Source organism: Homo sapiens, chromosome 15 (genome assembly GCF_000001405.40).
Source record: "Homo sapiens chromosome 15, GRCh38.p14 Primary Assembly".
Lineage (NCBI taxonomy): Eukaryota > Metazoa > Chordata > Mammalia > Primates > Hominidae > Homo > Homo sapiens.
Window position 1 is genome coordinate 31,597,748 of NC_000015.10, and position 15,800 is coordinate 31,613,547.

Genomic DNA, 15,800 nt, shown 5'->3' on the forward strand with positions numbered 1-15,800 from the left:
CAGCCCTTCTTGTTTTTGGAGAAACTGAATGACTTCTATTTTATATTTGGCTCTGGCTGCTGTCTGAAAAGTAGAAGCAGTGGGCAAGGCAAGGGGCATAGAGCCTGGGCTGTGGACCCCCATAGAGGGGCTGCTGGGCTTCTGAGGGGAGCCAGCAGGATTTCTGATGACCGGCTGTGGGTGTGAGTAAAAGCAGTGGGAACTTTCGAGTTTTCAGACAGGAAGAGCAGCGTGTTTCCAGTCCCCTGTGGCCAGGGCTGAGATGGGCTGAGTGGCCCTGGAGGTTTATATGATGGCCAAGGGAGCCTGGTCCGGGAGAGCCTGGGAGTTCTGTGGTGGTGATGTTGCCCCTAGGTTAGGGGAGGCTCTGGCTCTCCGCTCGCAGTCAGCCAGCGAAGTTCCACCTATTTGACATGTGGGCACGCCCTAAGATTTCAGTTGAAAACTATATTCAGATTGATGGCAAGATGGTTGAATAAGAACAACTCCAGTGTGCAGTTCCCAGTGAGATCGACGCAGAAGGCAGGTGATTTCTGCATTTCCAACTGAGGTACAGGTTCATCTCATTGGGACTGGTTGGACAGTGGGTGCAGCCCACAGAGGGCGAGCCGAAGCAGGGCAGGGCGTCGCCTCACCCAGGAAGTACAAGGGGTCGGGGAATTCTCTCCCCTACCCAAGGGAAGCCGTGAGGGACTGAGCCTGAGGAACTATGCACACTCCGGCCCAGATACTGCACTTTTCCCATGGTCTTTGCAACCTGCAGACCAGGAGATTCCTTCCAGTGCCTATGTCACCAGGGCCCTGGGTTTCAAGCACAAAACTGGGCAGCCGTTCAGGCAGACACCAAACTAGTTGCAGGAGGTTTTTTTTTCCATACCCCAGTGGTGCCTGGAACACCAGAGAGACAGAACAGTTCACTCTCCTGGAGATGGGGCTGAAGTCAGGAAGCCAAGTGGTCTGGCTCAGTGGGTCCCACCCCCATGGAGCCCAGCAAACTAAGATGCACTGGCTTGAAATTCTCGCTGCTAGCACAGCAGTCTGAGGTCGACCTGGGGCACTTGAGCTTGGTAGGGGGAGGGGCGTCTGCCATTGCTGAGGCTTGAGTAGGTGGTTTTACCCTCACAGTGTAAACAAAGCCGCAGGGAAGTTCGAACTGGGTGGAGCCCATCACAGCTCAGCAAGGCCGCCGTGGCCAGACTGCCTCTGGACTCCTCCTCTCTGGGCAGGGCATCTCTAAAAAAAAAGGCAGCAGCCCCAGTCAGGGACTTATAGATAAAACTCCCATCTCCCTGGGACAGAGCACCTGGGGGAAGGGGTGGCTGTGGGCGCAGCTTCAGCAGACTTAAATATCCCTGCCTGACGGCTCTGAAGAGAGCAGTGGACCTCCCAGCACAGCGTTTGAGTTCTGCTAAGGGTCAGACTGCCTCTTCAAGTGGGTCCCTGACCCCTGTGTATCCTGACTGGGAGACACCTCCCAGGAGGGGCCAACAGACACCTCATACAGGAGAGCTCTGGCTGGCATCTGGTGGATGCCCCTCTGGGAGGAAGCTTCCAAAGGAAAGAACAGGCAGCAATCTTTGCTATTCTGCAGCCTCTGCTGGTAATACCCAGGCAAACAGGGTCTGGAGTGGACCTCCAGCAAACTCCAGCAGGCCTGCAGCAGAGGGGCCTGACTGTCAGAAGGAAAACTAACAAACAGAAAGGAATAGCACATTCACTCAGAGATCCCATCCAAAGGTCACCAACATCAAAGACCAAAGGTAGATAAATCCATGAAGATGGGGAGAAACCAGCGCAAAAAGGCTGAAAATTCCAAAAACCAGAACGCCTCTTCTCCTCCAAAGGATCACAACTCCTCGCCAGCAAGGGAACAAAACTGGACAGAGAATGAGTTTGGCAAATTGACAGAGGTAGGCTTCAGAAAGTGGGTAATAACAAACCCCTCTGAGCTAAAGGAACATATTCTAACCCAATGCAAGGAAGCTAAGAACCTTGAAAAAAGGTTAGACGAATTGCTAACTAGAATAACTGGTTTAGAGAAGAACATAAATGACCTGATGGAGTTGAAAAACACAGCACAAGAACTTCGTGAAGCATACACAAATATCAATAGCCGAGTCGATCAAGCGGAAGAAAGGATATCAGAGATTGAAGATCAAATTAATGAAATAAAGCAAGAAGACAGGATTAGAGAAAAAAGAATGAAAAGGAATGAACAAAGCCTCCAAGAAATATGGGGTTATGTGAAAAGACCAAATCTACATTTGACTGATATACCTGAAAGTGATGGGGAGAATGGAACCAAGATGGAAAACACTCTTCAGGATATTATCTAGGAGAACTTCCCCAACCTAGCAAGGCAGGCCAACATTCAAATTCAGGAAATACAGAGAACACCACAAAGATACTCCTCGAGAAGAGCATCCCCAAGACACATAATCCCAAGATACATAATCGTCAGATTCACCAAGGTTGAAATGCAGGAAAAACTGTTAAGGGCAGCCAGAGAGAAAGGCCAGGTTACCCACAAAGGGAAGCCCATCAGACTAACAGTGGATCTTTCTGCAGAAACCCTACTCAACACAACCCAGAATTTCATATCCAGCCCAACTAAGCTTCATAAGTGAAGGAGAAATAAAATCCTTTACAGACAGGCAAATGCTGAGAGATTTTGTGACCACCAGGCCTGCCTTACAAGAGCTCCTGAAGGAAGCACTAAACATGGAAAGGAACAGCCGGTACCAGCCACTGCAAAAACATACCAAATTGTAAAGACCATCAACACTATGAAGAAACTGCAGCAACCAACGAGCAAAATAACCAGCTAGCATCATAATGACAGGATCAAATTCACACATAACAATATGAACTTTAAATGTAAATGGGCTAAATGCCCTAATTAAAAGACACAGGCTGGCAAATTGGATAAAGAGTCAAGACCCATCAGTGTGCTGTATTCAGAAGACCCATCTCACATGCAAAGACACACACAGACTCAAAATAAAGGGATGGAGGAATATTTATCAACAAATGGAAAGCAAAAAAAAGCAGGGGTTGCAATCCTAGTCTCTGATAAAACAGACTTTAAACCAACAAAGATCAAAAGAGACAAAGAAGGGCATTACATAGTGGTAAAGTGATCAAGGCAACAAGAAGAGCTAACTATCCTAAATATATATGCACCTAATACAGGAGCACTCAGATTCACAAAGCAAGTTCTTAGAGACCTACAAAGAGACTCAGACTCCCACACAATAACAGTGGGAGACCTTAACAACCCACTGCCAATATTAGACAGATCACTGAGACAGAAAATTAACAAGGACATTCAGGACTTGAACTCAGCTCCGGACCAAGCAGACCTAATAGACACATACAGAACTCTCCACCCCAAATCGACAGAATATACATTCTTCTCGGCACCACATCGCACTTTTTCTAAAACTGACCACATAATTGGAAGTAAAACACTCCTCAGCAAATGCAAAACAATGGAAATCATAACAAACAGTCTCTCATACTACAGTGCAATCAAATTAGAACTCAGGATTAAGAAACTCACCCAAAACTGCACAACAACATGGAAACTGAACAACCTGCTCCTGAATGACTCCTGGGTAAATAATGAAATGAAGGCAGACATAAAGATGTCCTTTGAAACCAATGAGAACAGACGCAACGTACCAGAATCTCTGGGACACATTTAATGCAGTGTGTAGAGGGAAATTTATAGCACTAAATGCCCACAAGAGAAAGCAGGAAAGATCTAAAATCGACACCCTAACATCACAATTAAAAGAACTAGAGAAGTAAGAGCAAACAAATTCAAAAGCTAGCAGAAGACAAGAAAAAACTAAGATCAGAGCAGAACTGAAGGAGATAGAGACACAAAAAACCCTTTAAAAAAAATCAATGAATCCAGGAGCTAGTTTTTTGAAAAGATCAACAAAATAGACCGCTAGCCAGACTAATAAAGAAGAAAAGAGAGAAGACTCAAATACACACAATGGAAAATGATAAAGGGGATATCACCACTGATCCCACAGAAATACAAACTACCAGAGAATACTATAAACACTCCTATGCAAATAAAGTAGAAAATCTAGAAGAAACGGATAAATTCCTGGACATATACACCCTCCCAAGTCTAAGCCAGGAAGAAGTCAAATCCCTGAATAGACCAATAACAAGTTCTGAAATTGAGGCAGTAATTAATAGCCTACCAACCAAAAAAAGTCCAGGAACAGATAGATTCACAGCCGAATTCTACCAAAGGTACAAAGAGGAGCTGGTACCATTCCTTCTGAAACTATTCCAATCAATAGAAAAAGAGAGAGTCCTCTCTAACTCATTTTATGAGGCCAGCATCATCCTGATACCAAAACCTGGCAAAGACACAACAAAAAAAGAAAATTTCAGGGCAATATCTCTGATGAACATCAATGAAAAAATCCTCAATAAAATACTGGCAAACCGAATCCAGCAGCACATCAAAAAGCTTATCCACCATGATCAAGTGGGCTTCATCCCTGGGATGCAAGGCTGGTTCAACATACGCAAATCAAGAAATGTAATGCATCACATAAACAGAACCAATGACAAAAACCACATGATTATCTCAATGGATGCAGAAAAGGCCTTCGACAAAATTCAACACCCCTTCATGGTAAAAACTCTCAATAAACTAGGTATCAATGGAACATATCTCAAAATATTAAGAGCTATTTATGACAAACCCAGAGCTAACATCATACTGAATGGGCAAAAACTGGAAGCATTCCCTTTGAAAACCAGCACAAGACAAGGATGCCCTCTTCACCATTCCTATTCAACATAGTATTGGAAGTTCTAGCCAGGGTAATCAGGCAAGAGAAAGAAATAAAGGGTATTCAAATAGGAAAAGAGGAAGTCAAATTGTCTCTGTTTGTAGATAACATGATTGTATATTTAGAAAACCCCACCATTTCAGCCCTAAATCTCCTTAAGCTGATAAGTAACTTCAGCGAAATCTCGGGATACAAAATCAATGTGCAAAAATCACAAGCATTCCTATACACCAATAATAGCCAAATCATGAGTGAACTCCCATTCACAATTGCTACTAAGGGAATAAAATATCTAGTAACACAACTTACAAGGGATGTGAAGGACCTCTTCAAGGAGAAGTACAAACCACTGCTCAAGGTAATAAGAGAGGACACAAATAAATGGAAAAACATTCCATGCTCATGGATAGGAAGAAACAATATCATGAAAATGGCCATACTGCCCAAAGTAATTTATAGATTCAATGCTATCCCTATCAAGCTACCACTGACTTTCTTCACAGAATTGGAAAAAACTACTTTAAACTTCATATGGAACCAAAAAAGAGCCCACATAGCCAAGACAATCCTAAACAAAAAGAACAAAGCTGGGGGCATCACGCTACCTGACTTCAAACTGTACTACAAGGCTACAATAACCAAAACAGCATGGCACTGGTACCAAAACAGATATATAGACCAATGGAAGAGAACAGAAACCTCAGAAGTTAACACCACACTTCTACAACCATCTGATCTTTGACAAACCAGACATAAACAAGCAATGGGGAAAGGATTCCCTATTTAATAAATAGTGTTGGGAAAACTGGCTAGCCATATGCAGAAAACTGAAACTGGACCCCTTCCTTACACCTTACACAAAAATTAACTCAAGATGAATTAAAGACTTAAACGTAAGACCTAAAACCATAAAAATCCTAGAAGAAAACCTAGGGAATACCATTCAGGACATAGGCACGGGCAAAGACTTCAGGTCTAAAACACCAAAAGTAATGGCAACAAAAGCCAAAATTGACAAATGGGATCTAATTAAACTAAACAGCTTCTGCACAGCAAAAGAAACTATCATTAGAGTGAACAGGCAACCTACAGAATGGGAGAACATTTTTGTAATCTTTCCATCTAACAATGGGCTAATATCTAGAATCTACAAAGAACTTATACAAATTTACAAGAAAAAACAAACAACCCCACCAAAAAGTGGGCAAATTATATGAACAGACACTTCTCAAAAGAAGACATTTATGTGGCCAACAGACATATGAAAAAAAGCTCATCATCACTGCTCATTAGAGAAATGCAAATCAAAACCACAATGAGATACCATCTCACACCAGTTAGAATGGCGATCATTAAAAAATCAGGAAACAACAGATGCTGGAGAGGATGTGGAGAAACAGGAATACTTTTACACTGTTGGTGGGAGTGTAAATTAGTTCAACCATTGTGGAAGACAGTGTGGCGATTCCTCAAGGATCTATAACTAGAAATACCATTTGACCCAGCAATCCCATTACTGGGTATATACCCAAAGGATTATAAATCATTCTACTATAAAGACACATGGACACATATGTTTATTGTGGCACTATTCACAATAGCAAAGACTTGGAACCAGCCCAAATGTCCACCAATGATAGACTGGATAAAGAAAATGTGGCACATATACATCATGGAATACTATGCAGCCATACAAAAGGATGAGTTCATGTCCTTTGCAGGGACATGGATGAAGCCGGAAACCATCATTATCAGCAAACTAACACAAGAACAGAAAACCAAACACCGCATTTTCTCACTCATAAGTGGGAGTTGAACAATGAGAACACATGGACACACAGAGGGGAACATCACACATCGGGGCCTGTTGAGGGGTGGGGGGCCAAGGGAGGGATAGCATTAGGAGAAATACCTAATGTAGATGACGGGTTGATGGGTGCAGCAAACCACCATGGCACGTGTATACCTGTGTAACACAACTGCACATTCTGCACATTCTGCACATGTACCCCAGAGCTTAAAGTATAACAAAAAAAGAAAGAAAACTATATTCAGCTGCTTCACAAAAATACTTGCAAATAGCTGCTAGAGCAGTGCCTTTACATAAAGTGCATTAAGTTAGTAACTGGCTCATGCATGTGGCCAGAGAAGTGGGTCAGAGGACAACCTGTGGCTCCCACTCAGGAGCCCAGGGGAGGACTTCCAGGGCAGGGTGGGGTGAGAAGCTCAACAAGATGGGCAAGTGTGCTCAGGGCTTGTGGCAAAGCTGTGCCCCTCACCTCTGTGCCCTGGAGTCCAGACTGGCTATTGGACTGGAAAGGAGGTCCTGCATGAGACTCCGGGTCTAACTGAGCCACCAGGGAGCCAGAAGCTTCTACAAGCAAGAGGCACGACGAGCAGAGCAGCCCGGGAGGCACAGGGCGGAACAAAGGCTCTGCTCTGGGTGCAGTGTGGCTAGGACGCATGGCCAGGCCAGGAGAAAGTAGGGCCTTCCACAGCTGTTTGTTTCTTTGCTTTTGTATTTGATTTTAGTTTGCTTTTGATGAGATAATTTGCATTTTGGGTGGGAGTTAGAACTTACTCTCTCTGTGCTGTGTAGAATCGGTGCGTGTGGGTGTGCAGGGGGAATGGGTGGTAAATATGTTATGTGGCATGTGTGTGGCAGGTGTGTGTTGGGTTATGTGTGCACAGCCTGAGGCTCTCCATCATTCTGGCTCCCTCTATCGCAGCCACAGACATCAAGGACCCTGCATCAAAGGAATGTGGGGGCCACTCTGGACACACAGGGGTGTGCTGGGGACAGTGGCCACGCATCTGGTCACATGGGACCACAGGCATTTGGCACCTGAGTTCTCTCCTCTGAAACATCACCCTGGGCCCTCTGGGGTGGGTGGACGGCTGATTCTCCTTGGTGGCCTCTGGGCCTGCATCCTAACTGGGTAGGGCAAGGAGTGGCTCCAACTAACAGCATGGAAACTTCCCTGGCTGTGAGGGGCTTCCTATTGGGCAAAGCCATTAGGGGGCGCCTCCGTGCTCACTTTCCAATGTAGCCTGCAATCATGGAACAAATCGATTAAAGCAGAGAACAATCAGTTATTTTTTCAGACTCATTTTCTTAAATGGCTTAATCTATGCCTCAGGCCACACAGACTGTTGGTTACGTAAGCAACTCCAGTGACTGCATTCCTGTGACATCGCTACAGTGCTGCATGCAAAAGCTGGCCTCTCTACTCCTGAGCAGACTCTGCTCTTTCCACGCCCTCTCTCCAGCCACCGGGGAGACTGTGCCACTGTGCCCGTGGACAGGGAGTGACAAAGGACAGAGCTCCCATTCTAACCAGTGAACCATTTCTGCTGGAGCCTGTGGGGAAACCACAAATGCCAACATCAACAGGCCTTTCTGTATACTCTTGGAGTCCAGTTTCCATTTTAGAAGAACATTATTAAAAACAAACCTAATTTACCACAACCAAAATTAAACAGCTAGATGACCTTCAACCAATGTCTCTGGTTTGGATCCAGTGATCTGCATGTGGCCTCACATCCCCATCATAGTTGCTCTTTGCTTGCAATTTTTAGCTCAGTGTAAATGCAGAATAACCTATATTTCACATAAACAACTCTTGCTAGATATGCAGGGTTGTTGTGAAACTTTGTTTAACTATTTTACCATCTTCATGTGCAAAGCTCTGGCAGGTATGCTTTAGCCTCAGGGGAGGGAGAGACGAAGTGGTGCAGAACTGAGGTAGGTTTCAGAGGCCTCCGTTATGAACACACACGTGACCGTGCACAGAGTTAGTAGCTTGAAAAATGTTACATTCCCAACATGGGAGTCACTTCTTAGTATTGGTGGCTTTTGGAGTTGTTTAAAATAAATTAGTCAGAAATGGATGAATAACAAAGTTAACTGGATTTTTTAGTATGACTAGTAAAATGTAAACAATAGCAGATCATCTGTGTTCATGACGTTGAAAAAAATCCCTATACTGCAAATATGTACTAAGTCAGACAGTAATGGAATTACACATCCTGCACCAAATTCATCTGTGTAAACTGTAACACTACAAAGCTGATGTCAACATCTGTCACATTAACTGTCTAACGCACGACTTCTGTTTTGGAAGTCAGCAGCCCTTTATTCAATTGGCAAAACCAGATACCCTCTAGGCATTAAATGGGTAATATTTACAAACACTTTTTTTCATGTGTGAGTTAAGTAATAACATTTTATTTCAAGATTAGTTATATAATGCTGACATTATATATCATATAAATCAGTTTAGAATTCTTTCATAAAAATTTTCATACACAAAACTACTACTGTCCGCTTATTCCAGCAATGAAGTAAGTGTTTATCAGTGATAGCACAGTAAACAAATTCAAACTGCCCTGGGGAGTTTCGCTTCTGGAAATGGTGGAGTAGGTTGTTTTACAACAATACTGACACTGGAATAACTAGGAAACATGGCAAAATATAAGAAAGAGATCTGTTTGATGACATCAGAGAGTATAAAGGCAGTGAGGAATGTTAAGCTGAGAACTAGGAGAGGATTAGAGACAAGAGAGATAAACTAGCATTTGGAGTTACTTTCCCCATTGGGAATATTGCCAGTGACAAAAGCAGTGGCTGAGAGGCTGAGGAGCTGAAGAGAGCTTTTAACAAGTCTTATGGATCTGGGCAGATAGAAACTAGTACTCAGGGCCCTCAATGAAGAACAAACCTTGGCCAACACCCCAGGCTTTTGGCTGGGAACTTGAAGGGCTATACCCCAAGAGTGAGAGTAAACTAAAAACAAACTAGCCATAGTAGGGAATCAAGGCCAGCTTCAAATTACTTAAATACCTGATTGGCTTAAAGTGGCCTTGGATTACTAATGTCCTCACCCCAGTTGCCTAAAATAAGCAAACTTCACTTTCTCAGGAAAAAAAATAAAATCACCCATAGCCTAAAATTATATCTCAAAATCTTAATATATAATATCCAAGACCCAATTAAAATTACCAGTGGTCCCTTAAGATTAAAATGGAGCTGAAAAATTCCTATTGCCTAGTGATGTTGAAGGTGACATAATGTTCTAGTGCAATGTATTACCTTTTCTATATTTATATAGGATTACATGCACAAATACTTAGTATTGTGTTACAATTACCTACGGTACTGAGTGCAGTAACATGCTGTACAGGTTTGTAGCCTAGGAACAGTAGGCTATACCATATAGCCTAGGTGTGTAGTAGGCTGCACCATCTAGGTTTGTGTAAATGAACTCTGTGATGTTTGCACAATGGGGAAGTTGCCTAACAATGCATTTCTTAGAATGTATCTCATCATTAAGTGATGCATGACTGTAGTCTAAAATAATTATATTTAATATGGTAGATGTTAAAGAATTTTGGGCTGGGTGCAGTGGCTCATGCCTGTAATCCCAGCACCTTGGGAGGCTGAGGCAGGCGGATCATGAGGTCAGGAGATCGAGACCATCCTGGCCAACATGGTGAAACCCCGTCTCTACTAAAAATACAAAAATTAGCTGCGCATGGTGGCACATGCCTGTAGTCCCAGCTACTTGGGAGGCTGAGGCAGGAGAATCGCTTGAACCCGGGAGACGGAGGTTGCAGTGAGCTGAGATTGTGGCACTGCACTCCAGCCTGGAGACTGAGACTCCATCTCAAAGAAGAAAAAAAAAGAATTTTGGCAGGGAATTGAATTGAGAAACATAAAAATAAGTCCAGTCTAGAACTGAAAAATAGATGAACTAAAAATAAGAACTCGGTGCATATGGTTAAGAGCTGACTGGGCAATCAAGAAAAGAGAATAAATAAAGTGAAAGATAAGTTCAGAAGAAAATATTGTTTGAAGCAGACTTACAGACATGCAGACACACAGACACACAGTGGGAGGTGGAGGTGTGGAATGAGAGCTAAAAGCACAAGACCATACACATAAGCATGGGAAAGGGGCTTTTTGACACATGTGCACAGAAGCTCCTCAACTTGCCATGGAGTTATGTCCCAACAAACCCATCCTAAATCAAAAATACTGTAAGTGCCTATTATAAAGTTGAAAAATCGTAAGTTGAACTATCATAAGTCAGTGACCAGCTGTAGCTGAGTTCCAGAAAGGAAGAATATACAGGATGGGATAGAAGCAATATTTTAAAAGATAATGGTGGACATGAGGCAGGACTAGACTGTAGCTCCAACTTGGAAGAACAGAGCAGCGTGCGGAGGCTCGCATCATGAATTTTAGATCCAGAATGACTGCAGGAATAAACCAGGAATCTATAGACCCTCTGAAAGAAGCAGACTGCTCCTGCAGGACCTGGTAGATGCCCCAAATACTGGGAGTGCCCAAACTGCAGAAGCAGGAAAGGGAAATCCTCTGCCCCCAAACACACACTCTCACTGGGGAAACTGAAGGTCTAGTTTGTGGGAGAAGTTTCTGACCTTACCTGGAGCAGAGTCAATTTAGAGAGCTGAGCGAAATACAGGGGTAGAGGAGGCAGCGGGAAAGGCCCTGGGAGCTCACTGGGTCCCCAAGCAGGCCATTCTTGCCTGTCACCACAGGGATCGGGGGGCAGTCAGAGGCAAAGGAAAAGGAAGTCTCAAGCTGAACTTTTTAACAATTTGAACTGGGCAAGAGCCTCCTGGCCAGAACTCAGGGGAAGGCGCGAATCTGACGTGTAGCCTCCACAGGATGGGGAGGAACTAAAGCCCTTTTCTTTTGCATCTGGGAGGTGGATAGCCTGGGGTAAGTTCTCAGCTTTGCTTGCCCACTGCCAGGAAACAAACTTGGTGCCGTTAGCAGGCACACGGTGGAAGTGAGACTGGCCCTTCAGATTGTGTGGGAGCTGGGTGAGGCCTGTGACTACCGAATTGCCCCACTTCCCTGACAGCCTGCATGACTCAGCAGAGGCAGCCATAATCCTCCCAGGAACACAACTCCATTGACCTGGGAACCTCACCCCCATTCCCTACAGCAGCCGCAGCACAGCAAGACCCAACGGAGAGTCTGAGCTCAGACACGCCTAGCCCTGCCCCCCATTGATGGTCCTTCCCTACCTCCTCTGGTAGCTGAGGACAAAGGGCATATACTCTTGGGAGTTCTAGGGTCCCACCCACTGCTGGTCCCTCTCCATACTAGCACAGCTGATGCTCTCTCGAAAGCGCTACCTCCCGTCAGGAGGCCAACCGGCACAAAAACAGAACATTAAACCACCAAAGCTAAGAACGCTCACAGAGTCCATTTCACCCCCCTGCCACCTCCACTGGAACAGGTGCTGGCATCCATCGCTGAGAGACCCATAGATGCTTCACATCACAGGACTTTGTGCAGACAACCCCCAGTACCAGCCCAGAGCCGGGCAGACTTGCTGGATGGCTAGACCCAGAAGAGAGATAGCAATCACTGCAGCTCAGCTCACAGGAAAGGGGGAGAATACTACATCAAGGGAACACCCTGTGGGACAAAAGAATCTGAACAGCCTTCAGCTCTAGACCTTCCCTCTGACAGAGCCTACCAAATGAGAAGGAACCAGAAAATCAGCTCTGCTAATGTGATAAAACAAAAGCAGAAGTAGCTGTTCTTATATCAGACAAAACAAACTTTAAAGCAACAGCAGTTAAAAGAGACATGGAGGAGGGGTATTATATAATGCTAAAAAGCCTTGTCCTGGAAAACATCACAATCCTAACCATATATGCACCTAACACCGGAGCTCCCAAATCTATACAACAGGTACTAATAGATCTAAGAAATGAGATAGATGGCAACACAATAAGAGTGGGGAACTTTAATACTCCACTGACAGCGCTAGACAGGTCATCAAGACAGAAAAGTCAACAAAGAAACAATGGATTTAAACTATACCTTAGAACAAATGGACTTAACAGATATATACAGAACATTTCATCCAAGAACTGTAGAATACACATTCTATTCAACAGCACATGGGACTTTCTCCAAGATAGACCATATGATAGGCCACAAAACAAGCCTCAATAAATTTAAGAAAAATGAAATTATATATATATATATATATATATATTTTTTTTTTTTTTTTTTTTTTGAGACGGAGTCTCACTCTGTTGCCCAGGCTGGAATGCAATGGCGCAACCTTGGCTCACTGCAAGCTCCGCCTCCCAGGTTCACGCCATTCTCCTGCCTCAGCCTCCCAAGTAGCTGGGACTACAGGCGCCCGCCACCACGCCTGGCTAATTTTTTGTATTTTTGGATTTTTAGTAGAGGCGGGGTTTCACCGTGTTAGCCAGGATGGTCTCGATCTCCTGACCTCGTGATCTGCCTGCCTCGGACTCCCAAAGTGCTGGGATTACAGGCGTGAGCCACCATGCCCGGCCAGAAAAATGAAATTATATTAAGCACTCTGTCAGACCACCCTGGAATCAAACTGGAAATCAACTCCAAAAGGAACCTTCAAAACCATGCAAACACATGGAAATTAAGTAACCTATTCCTGAATGATCATTGGGTCAAAAATGAAATCAAGATGGAAATTAAAAAATTCTTCAAGCTGAATGACAATAACGACACAACCTATCAAAATCTCTGGGATATAGCAAAGGAGGTGCTAAGAGGAAACTTCATAGCCCTACACGCCTACATCAAAAAGACTGAAAGAGCACAAACTGACATTCTCAGGTCACACCTCAAGGAACTAGAGAAACAAGAACAAACCAAAGCCAAACCCAGCAGAATAAAGGAAATAACCAAGATCAGAGCAGAACTAAATGAAGCTGAAACAAACAAACAAACAAATACAAAAGATAAATGAAACAAAAAGCTGGTTCTTTGAAAAGATAAATAAAATTGACAGACCATTAGTAAGATTAACCAAGAAAAGAAGAGAGAAAATCCAAATAACCTCATTAAGAAATGAAATGGGAGATATTACAACTGACACCACAGAAATACAAATGATCATTCAAGGCTACTATGAACATCTTTACTCACATACTAGAAAACATAGAAGAGATGGATAAATTCCTGGAAAAATACAACCCTCAGCTTAAATCAGGAAGAATTAGATACCCTGAACAGACCAATAACAAGCAGGGAGATTGAAATGGTAATTTAAAAATTACCAACAAAAAAAAGTCCAGGACCAGACGGATTCACAGCAGAATTCTACCAGACAAAGAATTGGTACCAATTCTTTTGACACTATTCCACAAGATAGAGAAAGAAGGGACCCTCCCTGATGCATTCTATGAAGCCAGCATCACCCTAATACCAAAACCAGGGAAGGACATAACCAAAAAAGAAAAACTATAGACCGATATCCTTGCTGAACAAAGATGCTAAAATCCTTAACAAAATACTAGCTAACCAAATCCAACAACATATCAAAAAGATAATCCACCATGATCAAGTGGGTTTCATACCAGGAATGCAGAAACGATTTAACATATGCAAGTTGATAAATGTGATACACCACATAAACAGAATTAAAAACAAAAATCATGTGATCATTTCAATAGATGCAGAAAAAGCATTTGACAAATCCAGCATCCTTTAAGATTAAAACTCTTGGCAAAATCAGCAACAAGAGACATACCTCAATGTAATAAAAGCCATCTATGACAAACCCACAGCCAACATAATACTGAATGGGAAAAGTTGAAAGCATTCCCTCTGAGAACTGGAACAAGACAAGGATGCCCACTCTCACTACTCTTCTTCAACATAGTACTGGAAGTCCTAGCCAGGGCAATCAGACAAGAGAAAGAAATAAAAGGCATCCAAATCGGTGATGAGGAAGTCAAACTGTCAATGTTGGCTAACAATATGATTGTTTACCTTGAAAACCCTGAAGACTCCTCCAGAAAGCTCCTAGAACTGCTAAAAGAATTCACCAGTTTCTGGATACAAGATTAATGTACACAAATTGGTAACTCTTCTATATACCAAGAGTGACCAAGCGGATAATCAAATCAAGAACTCAACCCCTTTTACAATAGCTGCAAAAAAATAAAATACCTAGGAATATACCTAACTGAGGAGGAGAAAGACCTCTACAAAGAAAACTACAAAACCCTGGTGAAATAAATCATAGATGACACAAACAAATGGAAACACGTCCCATGCTCATGGATAGGTAGACTCAATATTGAGAAAATGACCATACTGCCAAAAGCAATCTACAAATTCAACACAATTCCCATCAAAATACCATCGTCATTCTTCACAGAATTAGAAAAAACAATTCTAAAATTCATATGGAACCAAAAAAGAGCCTGCATAGCCAAAGTAAGACTAAGCAAAAAGAACAAATCTGGAGGCATCACACTACCTGATTTCAAACTATACTTTAAGGCCATAGTCACCAAAACAGCATGGTACTGGTACAAAAGTAGGCACATAGACCAATGGAACAGAATAGAGTACCCAGCAATAAGCCCAAATACTTACAGCCAACTGATCTTTGACAAAGCAAACAAAAACATAAAGTGGGGAAAGGACACCCTTTTCAACAAATGGTGCTGCGATAACTGGCTAGCCACATGTAGGAGAATGAAACAGGATCCTCATCTCTCACCTTTTACAAAAATCAACTCAAGAGGGATTAATGACTTATATATAAGACCTGAAACTATAAAAATTCTAGAAGATAACATTGGAAAACCCCTTCTAGACATTGGCTTAGGCAAGGATTTCATGAGCAAGAACCCAAAAGCAAATGCAATAAAAACAAAGATAAATAGCTGGAACTTAATTAAACTAAAGAGCTTTTGCATGGTAAAAGGAACAGCCAGCAGAGTAAACAGACAACCTCCAGAGTGGGAGAAAATCTTCACAATCTATACATTTGAGAAAGGACTAATATCCAGAATCTAGAACCCAAACTCAAACAAATCAGCAAGAAAAAAACAAACAATCCCGTCAAAAAGTGGGCTAAGGACATGAACAGACAATTCTCAAAAGAAGATATACAAATGGCCAACAAACATATGAAAAAA

The 15,800-nt window shown here is 42.9% G+C and overlaps 1 protein-coding gene across 3 annotated transcripts in view, besides 3 other annotated features; it reads right to left on the bottom strand.

The window, feature by feature from the left end:
• Window positions 1-15,800, bottom strand: part of OTUD7A (OTU deubiquitinase 7A) — a 395,276-nt gene that overhangs the window by 122,350 nt on the left and 257,126 nt on the right. The gene's annotated exons all lie outside the window — the stretch shown is intronic.
• Window positions 7,428-8,178: an enhancer, noted in NCBI's record as "H3K4me1 hESC enhancer chr15:31897378-31898128 (GRCh37/hg19 assembly coordinates)". NCBI's record gives its function as "activates a minimal SCP1, AML or CMV promoter by ChIP-STARR-seq in naive H9 embryonic stem cells {active_cell/tissue: H9 hESC(naive)}" and the evidence as "EXISTENCE:reporter gene assay evidence [ECO:0000049][PMID:30033119]".
• Window positions 11,180-11,735: an enhancer, noted in NCBI's record as "H3K27ac-H3K4me1 hESC enhancer chr15:31901130-31901685 (GRCh37/hg19 assembly coordinates)". NCBI's record gives its function as "activates a minimal SCP1, AML or CMV promoter by ChIP-STARR-seq in primed H9 embryonic stem cells {active_cell/tissue: H9 hESC(primed)}" and the evidence as "EXISTENCE:reporter gene assay evidence [ECO:0000049][PMID:30033119]".
• Window positions 11,736-12,290: an enhancer, noted in NCBI's record as "H3K27ac-H3K4me1 hESC enhancer chr15:31901686-31902240 (GRCh37/hg19 assembly coordinates)". NCBI's record gives its function as "activates a minimal SCP1, AML or CMV promoter by ChIP-STARR-seq in primed H9 embryonic stem cells {active_cell/tissue: H9 hESC(primed)}" and the evidence as "EXISTENCE:reporter gene assay evidence [ECO:0000049][PMID:30033119]".